General features: G+C 39.1%; 1 long non-coding RNA gene across 1 annotated transcript in view, besides 2 other annotated features; it reads left to right on the forward strand.

Annotated features, from left to right (window-relative positions):
- Positions 8–640: an enhancer, noted in NCBI's record as "NANOG hESC enhancer chr13:108978967-108979599 (GRCh37/hg19 assembly coordinates)". NCBI's record gives its function as "activates a minimal SCP1, AML or CMV promoter by ChIP-STARR-seq in primed H9 embryonic stem cells {active_cell/tissue: H9 hESC(primed)}" and the evidence as "EXISTENCE:reporter gene assay evidence [ECO:0000049][PMID:30033119]".
- The window catches only part of LOC105370355 (uncharacterized), a 37253-nt gene continuing 16301 nt past the window's right edge, over positions 1418–22369 (forward strand). The window contains exons 1-2 of the long non-coding RNA XR_007063863.1: positions 1418–1668; positions 8771–8961. This is a non-coding gene — a long non-coding RNA (uncharacterized LOC105370355). The remainder of the gene's footprint in view (positions 1669–8770; positions 8962–22369) is intronic.
- Positions 8773–8942: an enhancer, noted in NCBI's record as "experimental_32209 CRE fragment used in MPRA reporter constructs". NCBI's record gives its function as "activates a minimal promoter by MPRAs in K562 erythroleukemia cells, with activity observed for both the introgressed and non-introgressed 13:108987817 variant alleles {active_cell/tissue: K562}" and the evidence as "EXISTENCE:reporter gene assay evidence [ECO:0000049][PMID:34662402]".

Raw genomic sequence — 22369 nt, forward strand, 5'->3', positions numbered from 1 at the left:
TTTCATAGTGTGCTCTGAAGCTTAACGCTTAGTACCAGTTAATCTAATTCCTTAGCCACTCATCAAATTAATTTTAGAATAGCTGGGTTCAGTAAAGCTTTTGAGTTGGGGATACAAAGATGGTGAGGACAAGGTCCCCACTTCCAGGCAATTTGAACTGAGTCCCTCACTTCAAGTCCGTCACCTCTCTTCTCACCTCTTTGGAAATGCAGAGCATACCCTGCTGTCTTTATCCTCCTATTATTATTCACACCAATTAGGAGAAATTTGAGGCCAGAAACTGATGATCCTTTAACTACAGAAATATTCATTAATTGGCAGCTTGCTGGCGAATTGGCTTTGTGAGCTCCATTATAGGGAATTTCCCATGTTTTACATCAATGATAGCATTCATAATAATTCAAATAGGAAGAAAAAATGCTTGCCTTAATGCCACTCCTTGTTTTCTTGATTGCCCTCATTGTCGTGAGTTGCTTGTAAAATCAGCTAATAAGATTGTGTTATGTTTATACTGTGTTGTATGGTATATGTATTCATCTGCGAAGACTGCCATGACAAAATACCACAAACTGGATGGCTTAACTAAAACAGACCTATTATCTTTTTCTTTTTCTTTTCTTTTTTTTTCTTTTTCTTGAAACAGAGTCTCACTCTGTTTCCCAGGCTGGAGTGCAGTGGCAAGATCTTGGTTCAATGCAACCTCCACCTCCCAGGTTCAAGCAATTCTCATGCCACAGCCTCCTGAGTAGCTGGGATTATAGGCACCTGCCACCACGCCTGGCTGATTTTGTATTTTTAGTAGAGACAGGGTTTCACCATGTTGGCCAGCCTGGTCTCAAACTCTTAGCCTCAAGTGATCCACCTGCCTCAGCCTCCCAAAGTGCTGGGATTACAGGTGTGAGCCACCATGCTCAGCCAGAGACTTATTTTCTCATGGTTCCGGAAGCCAGATATCTGAACGCAAGGAGTCACCAGGGTTTGTTTTTTTCTGAGACCTCTCTCCTTGGCTTGCAGATTGCTCTCCTCCTGCTGTGTTCACAAAAGGCTTTTTCTCTGTGCTGCGTCTCTGCTGTCTCTTTCTCAACATTAATCCTATTAGACTAGTGCCCAATCTTATCACCTTTAACCGAAATTACCTCTTTAAAGGTTGTGGCACCAAATATTATCATATTGAGGTTTACAGCTTCAAATACGGATGGGGGCACAATTCAGCCCACAGCAATATATCCATCCGTGTGGGTTTCTGCTGCATACACTCCGGGGGTTCTGCTTCTGCTTACAACCTCCAGGGATTTATTTCCTGGCTCCCAATGTCAACCTTGAATATCAGGAGTTTGCAGCCACCACTGTGGTTTTATTTAGTGATCTATTATGGATCTACTATCCATTAATTCTTAAATTCTTTGAAGCTCTTTATACTGTCAGCTAGTGTTTCCTCTTGGGTAATAAGTTTGACATGTTGTTTTTTTCTAGAGGAAAATGGTGGCTAGGAGGCAGGACTAAATTGCAACTCCCACTTGGATGGAAAAAGCAGCATGTGGAGACTCACATCGCGAACTTTTGCTCCAAGAACTACCACAGGAAAATACCAAGAGAGCCAAGAGAATCCACAGACACTTTGAAGGAAGCAGATTGCTCCTGCAGGCTCCAGGAGGCAGCCCCCAAACTGTGAGTACCCAAAGTGTGAAAGTATACAAGGGGGCCCGTCCATCCCCAAACATGCACCCTCACTGGGGATCCTGACGGTCCAGATCACGGAAGAAGGATTTGGCCTTCCCTAAAGCTGAGACAATTTAGAGAGCTGAGTGAAATACAAAGGTAGAAGAATCAGCAGAAAGCACCCTGTGGGCTCTCTCGGTACCCAGGGAAGCCATTTCTGACTTTTTCTCTCAGAGGTCTTTGGGGAGGGCTGCAAGAAGAACTGGGAAAAGACCACAGGGAGAAGGAAACTTCCAGCTGAATTTTGTAACAATTTCAATGGAACGCAAAGTTTCCTGGACAGAACTCAGGGAAGGGGGTGAATCAGGAGTGCAGACAAAGCACAGAAGCTGCAGTAGGTGGGGAGGCACAAGATCTGAAAGCCCTGCTTGCTTTCACAGCCAGGAGGCTGGTAGCCTGAGGCAAGTTGTCAGCCCTGCTCACCCACTGTCTGGAAACAAACTCCCTGCTGTTGAGGGGAGCACAGTAGGAATGAGACTGGCCCTTGAGTTGCATGGGGAGCTGGGTGAGGGGTGTAATTGCCAACTTTCCCCACTTCCCTGACAACCTGCATGACATAGAAGAGGCAGGCAGAATCCCCCTGGGAGCATAACTCCATTGGCCTGAGGAACCATGCCCCCATCCCCCAGAGCAGCCACAGCAAGCCCCGGTCAAGGAGAGTCTGAGCTCAGGCAGGCCTAACCCTGCTCCCACCTGTTGGTCTTTCTCTACCTGCCCTGGTAACCAAAGACAAAAGACTTATTCTCTTGGGAGCTCTAGGGCCCCACCCACTGCCTGATCCACCCTATACTATCACAGCTGATGCTCTCTTGAAGGCAACACCTCCTGGCAAGAGGTCAACCAGCACAAAAATAGTGCAATAAACAAAACTACAACTCACAGTGTCCATTTCATTCCCCTGCCACCTCCACCAGAGCAGGCACTGCTATTCCCAGCTGAGAGACATGAAGACAGTTCACATTACAGGACTCTGTGCAGACACCCCCTAGTACCAGCCTAGAGCCCGGTAGCTCCTCTGGGTGGTTAGATCAAAAAGAGGCATATCAATTACTACAGTTCAACACGCAGGAAGCCACATCCCTAGGAAAGGGGGAGAGCACTACATCAAGGGAGCACCGTGGCCTGGCGCAATTGCTCATGGCTGTAATCCCAGCACTTTGGGAGGCCGAGGTGGGCGGATCATGAGGTCAGGAGATCAAGATCATCCTGGCTAACACGGTGAAACCCCATCTCTACTAAAAAAAAAAAAATTACAAAAAATTAGCCGGGTGTGGTGGGGGGCACTGTAGTCCCAGCTACTCAGGAGGCTGAGGCAGGAGAATGGCATGAACCCAGGAGGCGGAGCTTGCAGTGAGCAAGATCGCGCCACTGCACTCCAGCCTGGGGGATGGAGCAAGACTCTATCTCAAAAAAAAAAAAAAAAAAAAAAAAAAAAGAGAAAAAGGGAGCACCCTGTTGGACAAAGAAATCTGAACAGTAGCTATTGAGCTCCAGATCTTCCCTCTGACGTAGCCTACCCAAATGAGACGAAACCAGAAAAACAATTCTGGGAATATGATGAAACAAGTTCTTTACCACCCCCAAAAGATCACACTAGCTCATCAGCATTGAATCCAAACCAAGAAGAAATCGCTGAATTGTCAGAAAAAGAATTCAGAAGATCGAGTATTAAGCTAATCAAAAAGGCACCAGAGAAAGGTGAAGTCCAACTTAATGAAATCAAAGAAAGGATACAAGATGTGAAGGGAAAAATCTTCAGTGAAATTGAGAGCATAAATAAAAGGAATCACAACTTCTGGAAATAAAGGGCATGCTTAGAGAAATGCAAAATGCACTGGAAGCACTCAGCAATAGAATCAAACAAACAGAATAAAGAACTGCAGAGCTCGAAGACCAGGTTTTTAAATTAACCCAATCCAACAAAGACAAAATAAAAAAGAACTTTAAAACATGAACGAAGCCTCTAAGAAATTTGAGATTATGTAAAACAACCAGACCTAAGAATAATTGGTGTTCCTGAGGAAGAAGAGAAATGTGAAAGTTCGAAAAACGTATTTTCCTTGAATAATCAAGGAAAACTTTGTCAGCTGGGATAGAGATCTAGACATCCAAATACAATAAGCTCAAAGAATACCTGGTAAATTTATTGCAAAAAGATCACTGCCTAGGTACATAGTCGTCAGCTTATCTAAAGTCAAGATGAAGGAAAGAATCTTAAGAGCTGTGAGACAAAAGCAACAGGTAACCTATAAAGGAAAATCTATCAGATTAACAGTGGATTTATCAGCAGTAACCTTACAGGTTAGAAGGGATTGGGGCCCTATCTTCAGCCTCCTCAAACAAAACAATTATCAGCCAAGAATTTTGTTTCCAGGAAAACTAAACTTCATAAATGAAGGAAAGATACAGTCTTTTTCAGACAAAAAAATGCTGAGAGAATTCACCACTACCAAGCCAACACAACAGGAACTACTAAAAGGAGTCCTAAATCTTGAAACAAATCCTCAAAATACATGAAAATAGAACCTCCTTAAAGCATTAATCTCACAGGACCTATAAAAAAAACACAATAAAAAATAATAAAAAACTCCCAAGGTGTTCAGGCAACAAATAGCACGATGAATAGAACAGTACCTCACATCTCAATACCAACATTGAATGTAAATGGTCTAAAATGCTCCATTTAAAAGATACAGAATAGCAGAATGGATAAGAACTCACCAACCAAGTATCCGCTGTCTTCAGTATCTGCTGTCACCTGACACATAAGGACTCACATAAACTTAAGGTAAAGGGGTGAAAAATGATATTCCATGCAAATGGACACCAAAGCGAGCAGGAGTAGCCACTCTTGTAACACAAAAAAAAAAACAAACTTTAAAGCAACAGCATTTAAAAAAGACAAAGAGGGAGGATAATACAATGATAAAAGAACTAGTCCAACAGGAAAATATCACCATCCTAAATATATGCACCTAACACTGGAGCTCCCAAATTTATAAAACAATTACTACTAGACCTAAGAAATGAGATAGACAACAACGCAATAATAGTGGGGGACTCCAATACTCCACTGACAGAACTACACAGGCCATCAAGGCAGAAAGTCAACAAAGAAACAATGTATTTATACTATACCCAAGAACAAATGGACTTAACAGATATTTACAGAACATTCTACTCAACAACTGCAGAATATACATTCTGTTCATCAGCGCATGGAACATTCTCCAAGCTAGACCATATCATAGGCCACAAAACAAGTCTCAATACATTTAAGAAAATTAAAACTACATCAAGTACTCTCTCAGAACACAGTGGAATAAAATTGGAAATAACTCCCAAAGTAACCTTCAAAACCATGCAAATAAATGGAAATTAACCTGCTCCTGAATGATCATTGGGTCAACAATGAAATCAAGATAAAGATTAAAAAATTCTTTGAACTAAATGGTAATAGTAACACAACCTAGTAAAACCCCTGGGATACAGCAAATGCGGTGTTAAGAGTAAAGCTTATAGCCTTAAATGCCTACATCAAAAAAAGCACAAATAGACAATATAAGGTCACACCCCGAGGAACTAGAGAAATAAGAACAAACCAAACCCAAATCCAGCAGAAGAAAATAGATAACAAAGATTAGAGCAGAACTGAATGAAATTAAAACCAAACAAAACAAAAAATACCAAAGATACATGAAACAAAAGGCTGGTTCTCTTTATGAATGAAATTGATAGACCATTAGTGAGATTAACAAGTAAAGAAGAGAGGAAATCCAAATATGCTCAATTAGAAATGAAATGGGAGATATTGCAACCAATACCACAGAAATACAAAAGATTATTCAGGGGTATTATGAACAGCTGTGTGTGCATAAACTAGGAAACCTAGAGGAGATGAATAAATTCCTGGACATATACTACCCTCCTAGATTAAACCAGGAAGAAATAGAAAGTCTGAACAGACCAACAGCAAGCAGCGAGATTGAAATGGTAATTTTAAAAATTGCCAACAAAAAAAGTCCAAGATCAGATAGATTCACAGCTGAATTCTATCAGACATTCAAAGATTAATTGGTGCCAATTCTATTGACACTATTCCCAAGATAGAAAAAGAGGAAATCCTCCCTAAATCATTCTATAAAGCCAGTATCACCCCAATACCAAAACCAGGAGAGGACATAATAAAAAAAGAAAACTACAGACCAGCATCCCTGATGAACATAGATGCAAAAATCCTTAACAAATTACTAGCTAACTGAATCCAACAGTATATCAAAAAGATAATCCACCATGATCAAATGGGTTTCATACGAGGGATGAAGGGATGGTTTAACATACAGAAATCAATAAATGTAATACACCACATAAACATAATTAAAAACTCAAATCACATGATTATCTCAGTAGATGCAGACAAAGCATTTGACAAGATCCAGCATCACTTTATAATTAAAACCCTCAGTAAAATTGGCATAGAAGCGACATACCTTAATGTAATAAAAGCCGTCTATGACAAACCCCAGCCAACATCATACTGAATGGGGAAAAGTTGAAATCATTCCCCCTGAGAACTGGAACAAGACGAGGATGCTCACTGTCACCACTTCTATTCAACACAGCACTGGAAGTCCTAGCCAGAAAAATCAGACAAGAGAAAGAGGAAGTCAAACTGTTGCTGTTTGCTGATGATGTGATTGTGTACCTGGAAAACCCTAAAGACTCATCCAAAAAGCTCCTAGAACTGATAAGTGAATTCAGCAAAGTTTCAATATAACAAAATCAATGTACACCGATCAATAGCTCTACTATACATCGACAGTGACCAAGCTGAGAATCAAATCAAGAACTCAACTCCTTTTACAATGGCTGCAAAAAAAAGTAATAAAATAAAATAAAATACTTAGTAGTACAACTAACCAAGGAGGTGAAATGCCTCTACAAGGAAAACTATAAAACACTGCTGAAAGAAATTGTAGATGACACAAACAAATGAAAATACATCCCATGCTTATGGATGGATAGAATCAATATTGTGAAAAAGACCTTACTGCCAAAAGCAATCTACAAATTCAATGCAATTTCCATCAAAATACCACCACCATTCTTCACAGAACTAGAAAAAACAATCCTAAAATTCATATGGAACCAAAAAGGAGCCCACATAGCCAAAGCAAGACTAAGCAAAAAGAACAAATCTGGAGGCATCACATTACCTGACTTCAAACTATACTGTAAGGCCATGGTCACCAAAACAGCATAGTATTAGTATAAAAATAGGCACAGAGACCAATGGAACACAATAGAGAACCCAGAAATAGAGCCAAATACTTACAGCTAACTGATCTTTGACAAAGCAAACAAAAACATAAAGTGGGGAAAAGACACCCTATTCAACAAATGGTACTGGGATAATTGGCAAGCCACATGTAGAAGAATGAAACTGGATCCTCATAGCTCACCTTATGCAAAAATCAACTCAAGATGGATGAAGGTCTTAAACCTAAGACCTGAAACCATAAAAATTTTAGAATATAACAACAGAAAAATCCTTATAGACATTGGCTTAGGCAAAGACTTCATGACCAAGAATCCAAAAAGCAAATGCAACAAAAACAAAGATAAATAGCTGGGACTTAAGCTAAAAGGCTTCTGCACAACAAAAGAAACAATCAGCAGAGTAAACAGAAAACCTACAGAGGGGGAGAAAATCTTTGCAATCTATATATCTGAAAAAGGAATCATATCCAGAATCTACAATGAATTAAAAGGAATAAGCAAGAAAAAAACATAAGCAAGAAAAAAACAAACAATCCCATCAAAAAGTGGGCTAAGGACATGAACAGACAATTCTCAAAAGAAGATATAAAAATAGGCAACAAACATTTGAAAAAATGTGCAACATAACTAATGATCAGGGAAATGCAAATCAAAACCACAATATGATGCCACTTTATTCCTACAAGAATAGCCATAATCCAAAAGTAAAAATAAAAATAAATAGATGTTGGCATAGATGTGGAGAAAAGGGAACACTTTTACACCGTTGGTGGGACAACCACTATGGAAAACAATGTGGAGATTCCTTAAAGAACTAAAAGTAGAACTACCGTTTGATCCAGCCATCCCACCATGAGTATCCAGAGGAAAAGAAGTCATTATATGAGAAAAATACTGGCACAGGCATGTTTATAGCAGCACAATTCACAACTGCAAAAATATAGAACCAGCCCAAATGCACATCAATCAATGAGTGGATAAAGAAATTGTGGTATATATATACCATGGAATACTACTTAGCCATGAAAATGAAATAATGACATTCATGGAAACCTGAATGGAATTGGAGACCATTATTCTAAGTGAAGTAACTCAGGCATGGAAAACCAAATATTGTATGTTCTCACTCATGAGTGGGAGCTAAGCTATGAGGATGCAAAGGCATAGAATGATACAATGAACTTTGAGGACTTGAGGGAAAAGGTGGGAGGGAGAGTGAGGGATATAAAAGTACAAATTGGGTACAGTGTATACTGCTGGGGTGATGCATGCACCAAAATCTCAGAAATCAGCACTGAAGAACTTACTCATGTAAACAAACACCACCTGTTTCCCAAAAACCTATGGAAATAAAAAATAAAATAAAGTATGTTTTATTTAGAGAAAAAAATAGTTTGACAGGTTGTTTTCTTCCAAAGATGATAAGCTTAACATTGGAGGGTATAGATCTTGATGCTGGACTTAGATGCTCACTAATTTAAGGAATCACCATCAACAAAGAAGGAAAGAGAGAGAAAAGACTTGGGAAATGGGTTTGGTGGTTGGTGGAGGAGGCATGGGAGTTATCTTGAATATTCAAAGTGCGGTCTTTAAGAAGCAGCATTAGCTTTTTCTGTTCTGTATCTACTAGGCTCCAGTTGAGGCATTTTTTTTTTTTTTTGGACAAGGGGGATGTTTTTCTAGGAAGTATAGATGAAGTGTAACCGGCTACCTTACCATTAGTCAGAGCATTCTGGTGACATCAGCATTTCCCTCACTAAATATGCTGCAGAGCCCTATCTACCTTCTCAACATTAACACCCAGCAACCAGGAGAGGAGAGAGGCCTGGGGAAGACAGCCACCACCAAGTACACAAAGGTTGAAAGAGGACGTTTGTGGGAAGTAGACATTTGTGAATGTGGATTTAGAAGATTTTTCCCTGTGATGAGCTGAGTCATGGGTGAGAGCTGGAGAAAACAGAGGTAAGGCACATGATTTCAAGTGGTTTGATGGCAAAAGGTAACATATTTCAACTGATTTGATGATGAAGGAAGCGGGAGCGGTAGCTGGAGGGGCATCTCTGGCACATTAACAGGCTGAAATCATGAGCCAGAGAAGGGGTTTGAAGATGGAGAAGAGGGAGGCAACGTGGGGTCCTGGAGGGCTGGAAGGGTGTGGACAGGCAGTGTGAGGACTGCTCTAGCTGAGGCAGGCTGGAAAAATCTCAAGATGGTGCAGAGGTCAAATGTAGTGAAGAAAAGTACAATGATGCCTGAGACTATTTCCTTTGTAAGGTGTGCTAGATAAGTTTACTGACTGCACAGAGTGTGCTGGATTCAGGGCTAAATGCTCTCATCCTCTTTCGTCTCCTTCTTCCTCATGGAAATTTGCCTCAGATCTCTGTGTTGCTGTCCAGGAATAACTTGTGCCATGTGCAGTTTGATTTCTGTTGCCAGCAGTGAGTCCCTTCTCCTCTCTCTCTCCACCCTTTTTCCAGCAACACAGGCAGCCCAGGGGCTGAGCAGGTCCTCCTACCTGATCCATCGCTCTGTCTGCAAGCTCTCCTGTCACAAGTGAGTGGCTGACAGCCTCCAGAAAACACCAGTCAGTTACACTGTGATGTGCAGTCTGGCCAGGGCTCAGTGGAGAAGCCCACACTCATTTATCCATCACTGAATGTTGGTTGTGCCTCAGGAAACAGTCTGGTTGCCAGATACAGACTGGCCAAGAAAATGGACGTGATTAGTCCTCTTTTGGTCCGTATAATGTGAAGACGGTCATGTGAGCTAATGTGTGCTGAGCAAAGGGAGGATTTGGATTCTTTTGCTTTATCGGTCAATCCTCTTCTCCCATCAAATCAATGTGGAAATCAACAGAGTCCCAATGGCCTTCTTTGGTAAAGCCCTTGATAGTTCTATTTTTTAAGCAGTTTAATAAAGATCACAATGAATGAGATTGCAGGTAATTAATGATTTAGTGAACTGTTTGCAGTACTATTGAACATGAGCTGCAGAAATTATGAAATGGTAGGTTGGTCCTTCCCTACCTCTCTCCAACACCCCCGTCCCATCACCTGAAAACCCTCACTCTGCTGTCTGTGAGCCAGTACGAGAGTTTGAGAGATAGATTTTCAGAGCCTCATTTTCTGCCCTTTGAATGGCGAAAAAGCATTTTCTTTAAATTGAATACTTGCAAGCCTCATCTCATTGAAGTTTTTGGATGAGAAGCTCCGGTTAAGCTTAAATTATTATGGCCTTCACATTGTTTCCTAAACCAACTGCTTTAACTCAGGGTGGAAAATGCATCTACATTTCTTTTTCTTTCTTTCCATTTCTAATTAGATTTTGAGTTTAATAATGAATTAAGTTTAATAGGTCCTGAGCCCTAGAGGCAGCCTTTTTGAATTTCGCTTACTTTTGTTTGAACTGGAGTAGCCATGCATCACCAGGAGTAAACGAATTCATCTGTATTGTGAATTGTATTAATAAAAAACCATGGAAATGGTAGAATTTTAATGATTAGATTACTATTATCTAGAAATATTATAACTTTAATGATTGTGTTATTTTATTTATCTTAAAGTCTCAAATCATCATTTTCTTTTAAATTAATGCACCAGACCAAAACAATGTGATGAATCAGGGAATATTTGATATTTTAAGGACCATCCACATTTTACACTTTAACTAGAAAAAGCTTTCTGTAAATCTTCACCCACACACTTTTCTTTGAACTTACCAGCTATGAATTTATAATTGCGGAGAAGCATGTATATGTATCTAAAATGGCAGTTGGGGTGGAATAATTTGTATTTGATTTTGATTAATTTCAATTGGACACCAGTATTTTTGCTTATATAGGAAATTACTTTCTTGGCCATGAAGATTTTGCACATCTCTCTAATTGGAGTCCCTTAACCCTTCCTCTGAAATGGCACAGGGCTTTACTTTTACATATTCGGTGTATCTTATGTGCTTGAAGAGCAGCTTTCTATCCTGACAGCAGCGTGGGAGCTAGAGTCCAAGGAAACTGGTTTGAATTCCAACTGCGCTCATTTTAGATCTGCATACTTGAGCAAGTGCTTAAATTTCCTGGGTCTCAGTTTCCTGATCTGTGAAACAGGGATGCTAATTTATAGGAGGGTTGGTGTGCAAATGAGAGACAAGCTGATAAAACACGGAGTTCGCTTCCTGCCCACAGTGGTCAGGCAATTATTTTGCCGATGCGTCTGCCTCTGTCACTAGACAGGTGCTGATCAGGGTAAAGGCTATTTCTGTCTCGTTCACTTTTCTGTCCTCATTCCTTAGCACAGTGTTTTACTTACAGAAGAGATCAGTTCATGTTTCTTGATTGAGAAAATTAAATAAAGCCCATCATAAACTCTAACAAGAAAATCCAAAAAGGTGTGAAATTCCTACTTTCTTGCCCTACACCAATTTCTTTCTATATGTGATGCTAGTTTGTAAATAGATGAAGGCACTTACATTACACATTAGCTAAGGTCTTATCTAGAGGGTAAAATAATTTTCACATCTCAAGTAAACAGAGAGAGTTGAAATGGCCACAAAGAATTTGTTGTGCATTCTATGTTGTTTCCTATATCCATAATTCTCATTGTGTCAACACAGTGGTTCAAAAGAGCTTGTCAATAAGCTTAGTAAATACTCCACATAAGTTACAATTCAGATAACAAAAAGTTTGATGTAAAGGTGCTATTTTTTCATTTCTCATGAGTAGTCATTGTGAGAGATTGTGTCTTCTGTTTAAAATGTAAGACTTATTTTCTAATACCATGCCTGTATGAATTTAATAAGTACAATTATTTCTCCCATGCCGGTTCTTGGATTCAAACATCATAGAACATGACTAATTAATGAAGTAATGTAATTGGCTACATGTTTTAATTAAGAAGCTTGGGGCACATGCACTTTGCTTTTTTTCCCCCATCTATAGTTTATATATTTTTTCCTTTGGAGATGTATGATAAGGATGAGAGTTGCCTGTCAGAATGAGAGTTGGAGAACTTCTGCTTACAGAAGTCAATATTAAGTGTCTACTAAAATCGACTAGATCTCTACCAGACAAAGCTTCAGAATAAAATAAGTGATAATAACTACAAAAGCTGGACATGAACAAAAGCCGCAACCAGGATGCCCTGGAGGGTGAAGAGAAGCAGACAAATCCCCAGGGGAGAGCAGGCTTGCTCAGAGAAGGGGAGGTAGAAACTCCTTAAGTTATGTGGGAGGGTGGCAGGGGGGCTGAGGCTGGAAAATTACCTGTTGGGTGCAATGTTCACTATTGGGGTGATGAGTACTCTCCAAGCTCAGACTTCAATATATCCGTGTAACAAAACTGAACTTGGACATATTTCCTAAATCTATACAATTTTTTTGAAAAAGAAACTCCCTAGGTAATTTTTCTTTGGGGGTTGTGGGGCACATGTGAAAAAAATCTAGCATCTTTCTGCTAGATAAATAAGAAACCAGAAAAGAGCTATTGAAGAAACTAGGAAATTCTCAAAGGAAACAACCCAAGAATGGATGTCCAAAATCAACGTACCCACAGCTCTGACTGACCCCCGAAACATGCATAGGAAGAATAAACTCAAAGTATATCAGCTAAGGACAAAATATCTGGACTGAGACCAGAACTGCTGCCCAAGAAACTGAGTTTTCAGTTCATACCAGCTAACAAAATTTTATATAATTACTGAAATATATAAATCCACATACCAAAACTGTAGATGCTTTTGTATGTAACTATTACATGTATACAAAAAGAAATAATGAAGGTATGAGGATCATTTAAGTTATAATACTAATTTAAGTATAATTGTAAAAGCCGTATCATTTTGTCTTTTTAGATTTTCATTGCTAGTTGTTGGTAGATTTAAAATTTGTGAAACCATCTTTATTTCTCTCTGTATATGTATTTTTTGATTTATTTATGATTAGCATAATTGTAAAAAACATTTAAGCTTTGCTCACTCTCTTAGATTTTGAAGAGCGCTTCAGTATTTTGTATTGGCATATCCAATCATTTACTTCATCACTTAATAAATTAAACCTTTCCTGAGATAGATATACATCTGCTGGAAATGGGCCTAAATGAAATTGGCAACTCACATGTGTCATATCATTTTTTACGCACTTCAGTAGTTACTAACAATTAGAGGTAGGCAGCCCACCCCTGCCCCAGCAAACTGTCTACCAGGAGGTGCACTGCAAAGACGAGTATTGCAATCTGCATACAGACATAAAACCAATTCTCCATCCTTTTGTGTACTTTGGTAAGTAGTATGTATGAAAGACTTACTCGGGTGCAAATTCAAAAAGTTCTGAAGGTAGAATATACCAAATTGTTTGAAGTTTTTTAGGCCAAAGGATTAACCAAAGGTTTAGACCTCTGGCACCATTTTAGAAGATTAATCTGCTCACTCAACAGGCGTTATACACTTATCAGATGAGCCAAGAGGGGTACATAACTATCCTCAGCAATCATATATCAAGTACACCACTCATTTCTCCGATGAAATACTATTTGTACCATCCCTTATGTTAATTAATAATTTCTAGTACGCATACAGATTGAGTTATTACAAGGGCTTCTATGGCCCTTTAGATGGAATCCTGGCTTGGTCTTTCTCTCACCTATTATCCATAGACTATGGATAATAGTCCATAGTTTATTGTCCATGGCTGACATGTGATCAAAGGTCTTCCTCTTCTGACAAGCAAAAGCAGGAGGTGGAAGGGCAAAGAAAAAGTAAAAGTAGGAGCCTTCACTTTCCCAGTTAAAAATAAGAGAAAACGTTACCGACCACCCCACCCTCATTGTCTCAGAGCACTTTGTCCAGAAAACTTGTATATTCTTTCTCTGTCTTTTCTAAAGATAGGTAAATATTTTTAAAAGCTAACGTGGCCAATTTCACAACCTGGAAGTGTCTTTCTCAAAGACCTAGGAGCCATAGCTTGGAAATGTAAACAACAAGGAAGATGACGACCCTGTCTCTCATTTGCTGTGGGAGGGTAGGAACTTCATTTAGGTGGGCACCTTGTTCCAGGTTGTTAAACTGCTTCCAGTCATAAAGATAAGAGAGTTTATTTTTCCTTTATATAGAGCTAATTAAGTAACATAGATGGTCACCCCAAATACCAGGTGATTTAAATGAATTACGTGTAATAAATGCTACCACCGAGCCCTCTTACTTGAAGACTAATGGTTGTTATGCTGGAGAGTATGTAGGTTGTGTATCCGTGACTATACAAAAGGGTGAGGTTTCTTTCTGTCCTTGCAATCTCTTAGCAGATCACCTGTCACATGCATCACTTTCTCAATTAATGCTCATTCAATGATAAAACCATTTTTTTTTTCTCTACTAACTTTGTGGAGAGGATTTCTCGGTTGGATTCAATTCTGGTTTTTATATTCCCCAACAAAGGCTAAAGCTTGGGGAACTACGTGATTTATTTGTTATTTTTATTGCATCATGAAGATGACAAGATTTGTTCCTAGAACATTTTTTCTTTGTTTGTAGAAATACAATTTATTTTCTAGTGGAGTGGGTGAGCAAATTAACCCTCTCATCTCTGGTGGAATACTGTAACTCAGTTGCCTCTTTCAGTCACTGTTGAGATCTCCTATCAATCTAATGGTTTTCTCTAGCTGAGCCTTAAGGCCTTTCAGTTCATCCCAATGTGTCCATAGGTGATTTGATCAATAGTGTTTAGTCAAGTGTAAACTGGGCCCCAAGACAATTTAGTCAAAATAATAACATACACATATATTCTCTGAATAGTGACTCTTCTGGTGTGTCACTAGAGTTTGTAGCTCTGTATTTAAACAATTTCTTCAAATTTCAGATCTTTATCAGTATCTTCAATTTCTTTTTCAAAAAAGAAATTTAAAAAACGGATTTAACTTTATTTTTCTAGACTGTAGTAGAGAAATAAAATTATCCACCTCTCAGAAAAACACCCACAACACTAACTGCCCAGAGATTCAGACTTCCCAGTGTTTGGGCATCTGAGTATTTTTCACATTTTTGTTATTGCAAAGAGAACAAAGCAGCAATAAATGAATATACATTAAAAAATACTTTTAGAAGGAATAAATAGAAATCACTCCCTCCAAATTCTTACTAGCACCTACATATTTTTAAAAAATCATTTTTACAAACACTGTACTTTAAAAAAACAACACCATTTGAAGAATATTCATTTTCAATTAGGTTTTATGTTGAACATCTTACTATCAGTTCAATTCCAATAAGCCAAATTGCTTTCACTAAATTGCTTTCAGCCTAATCATATGCTATTTCTTAATCCAGTGCTTCTTGTAACTAGCATCAATTAATTGGAGTAATCTTAAAGAATTCATTTTCATTATTGGAGTAATCATAAAGAGTTCTTTTTCACTAGAGAGGTTGTATTTTAGGATAAATTAATCATTTGCTTGGGATTTATAAGAAAAGAAATTTAGGATTTAAGAACAATTTTCGGATTGCAGGACATTCCCTATATTCTGTTGCTTGTTTAAGAAGTTTAAGCCCTTAGCAGCGCCTGAACAAACAATGGGCCCTTAGGCCAAACATCAGTGACAGTAAAATGTTACTGAGCAGAAATCTAACTTCCAGTATTACAACATTGTAGCAAAGATAACTTTTTCTGAGAAGAGGGATGGGGTACAATAAAAGGGAAGTAATTATTTGTTTAAACTAATTGTGAGCTCTGATGACCTTTGACAATTATCTCTCAACTAATTTTAATATTAGAAGAAATCCTTGAGCATTGGTCTTGAACTTCACTCACCCAAATTCCAATTGCTTAAAAAATTAATATACTTTTTTATGTGGCTTAATTTTTAACAAAGAGCAACTGAAGGCAGGAGAACATTTGGCTTCAATCGCATCCTGATTCTTAATTTTGAACACAAAAGGCTGCTTTATTTCTCTTCAGTGATTACCACTAGATGGGGCAAGCCAGCAGTGACTCTTCCGACTCCTAAGTAGCCCATAATAGAAAGCTTCTTTCTCAGGAACTGCAGTCATCTCAAACACTCATATAATATATTAATTGTCTCTTTAAAAAGAGAAGATGGTAATGTAATTGTGATTAAGCCTAGCCTCATGTTCTACCTGTTTTGTGTTTTGGGTAGCCCTGGGCGGGGTCACTGTTCCTTCCCTTTCCTGACACACTTGTTTCTTCTAAGGAACTGAAGGAAATCACCAGGACTTTGAGGTGGTTGATTTCAGTAGAGCAAGAGATAATGTAAGTGCTGATGATTTTGGAAACCAAGGAGTATAGGAGGGCATGTAATATTGGTATCTTAATATTTTATCTTAAAGGCCAAAGAAGGGAGACCTGAGCTTTCAAAACTCTCTAAGACGAAGATCAATTTCGATATCTTGTCCTTGTTACCTAGGAGAGAAAAGGAAAAATGGAAGCATAGAGGAAGGAACTGAGATTTTGTCTGACAATGTAGAAACAAAAACTGACTTTGCCTTGCTTTTGCTATGACTAAGAACTTCCTGGGCCGCAACAGTCTGAAAAAAAAATACTGTGTACCTTGAGATAAGCCAAGAGATAACAGATCATTCTTACTGGTTCTGATACCTAAAATAATAAAACCTTGACTATTTTGCATAAATATGGACTTCATGACAAAAAATTTTATTCCCGATTTTTTACATATTGATATCTGAATACATATTATGAACTTTGTGAATATCATAACTGCACGAGAAATTGCTTTTTCCTGAAAGTGTAGACTACTATAAACTTACTAAACATTGTGATTTGCAACTGTTAAAAATATTTATGTTTTATATTTGTTGAGCCAGGTTTTCTGAAGTCTGACTCCCCTAGAACTCCTTGCAAATAAAACCTTTTCTTTTCTAAGTGACTCTGTCTCTGAGTCTTCCTTTGACAACATTTTCAACACATACACTGCATGCGAAGATGTTTGATAAAGAAGAAATCTTGCTTTCAGAAATAACAATCAGATTTGATGTAACCCTCAGGTTAGACAGTTTTTCCTTTGATTTATTTAAGCAACATCTTTTTAGAATCTTTTTATCGTTACTTCCAATCAAAAAGCAGAGACCACAGCCTATAATTCTGGAGTATTTTCAGCCTGGCACATTTTGCTAGGCAACTTCCAATATGCTTTCTCTTCTTTTTTGGTAACAGAAGTTTATGCCAGGTTAATTACTTCTCAGAAGGTTACATTGCTCAGTGTCCCACCCTGAAGATGGATGTGGCTATTTGATATACTTATAGGCAACAGAAGGTAATGGAAAATGTGAACAGTTTTGGTGAAACTTCCCTAAAAGTTATCTAGCTCCTGTTCTTTACTGTTTTCTTCTTTGCCCATTACCATTTCCTGTTAGCTGGAATAGCATCATACCTGGTGCTGGAGTAATAGTTTTGATTTATGAGATGAATTTGGAAAAGATAACCATGCACAACTGAGACAAAATAGAACTTGGCTCTCTGAGGATATTGTAGAACAGTAAACCAGCTGTGGATATACCCTCCCTGAATTCCATGAGAAAGAATGAATTGAATTAATTTCATTAATTTCTATCTTGTATAAATCACTGTTTCTTTGTTGTTGTTTGTTTGTTTGTTTGTTTTTTGAAACACTTTGTCTCCCAGGCTGGAGTGCACTGGCACATTCTGGGCTCACTGCAACCTCCACCACCTGGGTTCAAGCCATTCTCCTGCCTCAGCCTTCCGAGTAGCTGGAATTACAGGCATGCTCCACTACACCTGGTTAATTTTTGTATTTTTAGTAGAGACAGGGTTTCACTATGTTGGCCAGGCTGGACTAGAACTCCTGACCTCAAGTGACTCGCCCACCTCGGCCTCCCAAAGTGCTGGGATTACAGGCATGAGCCACTGTGCCCAGCCCATTTCAGGCATTTTATGAGTTGCATTTTGTCCCTCCGAAAATGATCTGGTCAAGGTCTTACCCCACTACCTCAGGATGTGCTCTTCTTTGGAGATGGGGTCTTTACTGAAGTAACCAAGTTAATGTGAGGTCGTTAGTGTAAGCCCCAATCCAAAAAGACTGGTTCTTTATAGAAGGAGAATTTGGACACAGGTGCACACACTGGGAGAATGCCAGGTAAACATGGAAACAGCTCTCTACAAGCCAAGAAGAAAGGCCTGAGACAGAGCCTTCCCACACAGCCCTCAAAAGGAACCACCTTGACACCTCAATCTTGGATTTCTAGCCTCAAGAACTCTGATATAATACATCTCTGTAGTTTAAGCAGCCCAGTCCATACTTTCTTATGGCAGCCCTAGAAAAGTAATACAGGGCCTGAGTATCAATAAGCATTTTTCAGGAATCATTCTAAGTGCTTCAAGTTGAGAAGATTTAACACATGAAATGGAGGTTAGAAAACTGTCAGAATGCCTGGGAAAGTAAACAGAAAGGAAAATGGCTGCTGGTTTCAGGAAGTCAAGAATCGCAGGAACACATGGCTGGCTGATGATCTCAGCGACCTGCGGACCAACGCAGGTGATCTGCAGGAACCTCCTTGGAAGCGGCAGCTTCCCGCACTCCATATCCACCGGCTGTGGAAGCTCACACATCTGCCTGCTCCTGATGGAAGCATAGAGGCTGCCACTCCTCTTCCTGATTCTGATGCCTGAGTGGGTGCCTCCTGGTGGTGCAGTCTAAGTTAAAATCCTGCTGGCAACCGGAAAATGTAGGTTTCAGGGTTTCAGCCCCTGTAAATACAAGGGAGAATATAGAAGTGGGCAGAAGTATTCCTGTGATGGAAATAGGAAATCCACCGCAGCCTCCGTTACTCATAAATACAGCTAATGAAACTTAGTAAACATTTTACATCTACGAAAAACTCTGTGTTCCCTTTCTCACTATGTGACCCTTTGGCAGTATTTACAAAGTATAACTGTGAAGTCGGTTTCAAAAGTATGCTTCATATCCTCCAGTTCCATGGGCAGGCTTTGTAATCAGCCAAACGGGATCAAACCCAGATCCTTAATTTACCAGCTGCATGACTTGGGAGACTCACTTAAGCTAGGTGTACCACCGTATCTGTAAAATGGGACTACTAACAGTATATATCTTCAATAATTGTGAGGACTGAATGACATGAAATATGTGGAATAATTTTCAGTGTGGTCCATCCTAAGTGCTCCATAAATGTTGGATCTTTGTGTTATTGCTGTGATTTACTTCATGCCTTTGGTGTGAATTTAGTTGTTTATGTATCAGCCTGTCCGCTGAGACTGTTGAGCTCTCCTAAGGTCGGGAGTCTTACGTTTTATATTTTATCCCAGTGAGTGGTAGGCAGTGTATTATTCTCAAGACACTGAGGTGGTTCTTATCTAATATCTGTAATTCTAAAAGTTTTCAAGGTTTTTAAATTAATTCAACCAACCATTCTTTCAACAATTTTGAGGTTAAAACTTCTAACATATCCTTGATCACCTCAATTCTGGTATTTCTATATTCCTGTACAAAAAGAAATGTACAGACAGTGTGGTGAAACTTTACAAAAGATTAAGTGTTGGGATGGGGAAGCGGGGACATAAGTAATAAGAGGGCTTAAATCTGCCTGGAAAAGGTGTTTATTCATTATGTCCTCATATGATATGTTAAGGAGTTCAACCTTACTGGGAGGCAATGGGAATTAAATAAGGGATTTATTGTGAATGATAAAGTGATATTATTACTTTTACTTTTTTAAATTATACTTTAAGTTTTAGGGTACATGTGCACAACGTGCAGGTTTGTTACATAGGTATACATTTACTTTTAAGATTACATTGGAATCACTGCCATAGATGGTTTGTCGGAGTGAGAGAGGAAAAGAAAATTAGTTAAGAGGGCTTGAACTTTGGCAGTCATGGAGAGAGAGGGGAGAAGCGAATGGGCTGTGCAGATGCTGAGCAGGCAGAGCTGACAGGAAGGATGGCCCTTGTGCAGGTGCGGCAGACCCGGTGACTCAGAAAGAAGTGTGAAAGGGAGGCGTGTAACTCAGAGGGAGAGAGCAGCCTCGGTGTGGTTGACCTTCGTGGGGGCAGCTTCAATCCTGCAGGAGCACAAGGCTGATTGCTGGAGATCAATAAATGCGGAAGATAAGATAGTGGGGGTGTTGAGCAGATTTCACTTCATTCAGTAAGTTTACCTGCAAAAGGAAGAAGAGAGAAAAGGCAGCAGTAGCATGAAAATGTGTCGATTTTGTCAATTGGAGCATTCTGTATATTCTGTTCAATTGATGGCGCTTTATTTTACTGCTTAACTATAAAAGCCATTGACTGCATGATTAAGTACATAATGCCAATAAAAATGACCTTCCATCCTGTTGTTTTTTAATCACCAAATGACTCCCTGGCTGTCAGTAATAATGAATTCATACACACCAACAATAACAAAATGTTTATTTAGGACAGGACCTCACGTGAGGCCAGCCTTCCTAAGGAAGTGAACAGTTACCTGCTTTAAGGAACTGTTTGCAAATGGACCTCCTGTCTTATCTCTCACAGACCAAAAACTCCTTTTCAAACAAAAAACCTGGGCATATTTTGCCAGCAACAAATCCGGGAAAATATCTTAGTAGGAACTGGGAAACACTGCATTAGAATCTGAACCCTTCAGTAGCTCGAAGTCACCATGCTTTCTTTTTTTTCTTTATAGTACAATTTGTTTTTCAGAAGAGTTTTACATTTACAGAAAAAAAGAGAAAATAATATAGTTTTTATATACTCTGTACCATATGTTACAAATACTAAAGCAATGTTGATATATTATTATGAACCATATTTCTTTTTTTTATTATTATACTTTAAGTTCTAGGGTACATGTGCACAACGTGCAGGTTTGTTACATAGGTGTACACATGCCATGTTGGTGTGCTGCACCCATCAACTCGTCATTTACTTTAGGTATTTCTCCTAATGCTATCCCTCCCCCAGTCCCCCATCCCCCGACAGGCCCCGGTGTGTGATGTTCCCCGCCCTGTGTCCAAGTGTTCTCATTGTTCAGTTCCCAACTATGAGTGAGAACATGCAGTGTTTGGTTTTCTGTCCTTGTGATAGTTTGCTCAGAATGATGGATTATGAACCATATTTCATCTTTTACTCGGGTTTCCTTGGTTTTTACCTGTTATCCTTTTTCTGTTCCAGGATCCCATTCAGGATACCACATGGCATCTGGGTGTCTGTCCCTTTAGGCTCCTTGTGGCTGTGCCAGTTTCTCAGATGTTCCTTGCTCCTTGTGTGCAATGACTTTGATAGTTTTGAGGAGTACTGCTCAGGGATTTTGCAGGATGCCTGCTATTGGGATTTGTCTGATGTTTTTCTCATGAGAAGAGTGGGATGAGGAGTTACTGGGGGGAAGACCACAGAGTAAAAGTCGCATTGTTATCACATCCTATGCAGTGGAGATATTATCAACATGATTTTTAACCCTTAATGTTGGCCTTGAGCACCAGGAAGGAAGTCACTAAGTGCAGCCCACACCAAGGAATGCGAAGTTAGGCTTCACCTCTTTGCAGGGGTTGGGGGCGGGTATCTACATAAATTATGGGAAATTTTACTGTATGAGAGATTTGTCTCTTCTCTCATATTTATTAATTTATTCAACCATTTATATCTTTTGAATCCGTGGATGTTTATATTTGGGTTATAATCCGACATTACTTAATGCTCAAAGTGTTTCAGCTTTGGCCTTTGTTGATACTTTCAGCTGGCTCCTGTACTCTTCTGACATGTCCTATTACCCTGACACTTTCTTTTCTTTTCTTTTTTAACACTTTGTTACTTTCTGCTCATAGTTTATATGGGTGTATATGTCTCTCTCTCTCTCTCTCTCTCTCTCTCTCTGTGTGTGTGTGTGTGTGTGTGTGTGTGTGGTTAAGGGGAAACTGTCTAGGCTTGTACTTGGGGCTCTTTAATACCCTTCCGTATTTTTTGTCCATCTGATATCTCTCACACCGAGAATATGTTTCTGTCTATCATTCATCTCTCATAGTTTCCACTTTATGAACAAGTTGATGTGTTACTTGGTGCATAAGTATGAATACCTTCTATATATTAATGTGAAATATTTAAAATGATTAAATGGTGTTTAATTTGTCCCACTGAATGTTTTTACTCAAATTCTCTTCTGGGTGCTGTCAGGACCACCATCCCGATTTTCTCATTGATTCTATTTGCCTTGTGCATTTTGTAGACCCTTTAGTCTTTCTGAGTCACTTTGTTTTGGGTGTGTCTCTTGCGTGTAGCGTGTGGTTGGCTCTTGCCTTGTGAGCCGAGTTGAAAATGTGGATATGGTGGATATGATTGGTTTCAGCTCTGACATATTACTATTGTTGAACTTGCTGTGTTTTCTATTATGTCATTTTTCTGA

The sequence above is a fragment of the Homo sapiens genome, chromosome 13 (genome assembly GCF_000001405.40).
Source record: "Homo sapiens chromosome 13, GRCh38.p14 Primary Assembly".
In the NCBI taxonomy this organism is placed as follows: domain Eukaryota; kingdom Metazoa; phylum Chordata; class Mammalia; order Primates; family Hominidae; genus Homo; species Homo sapiens.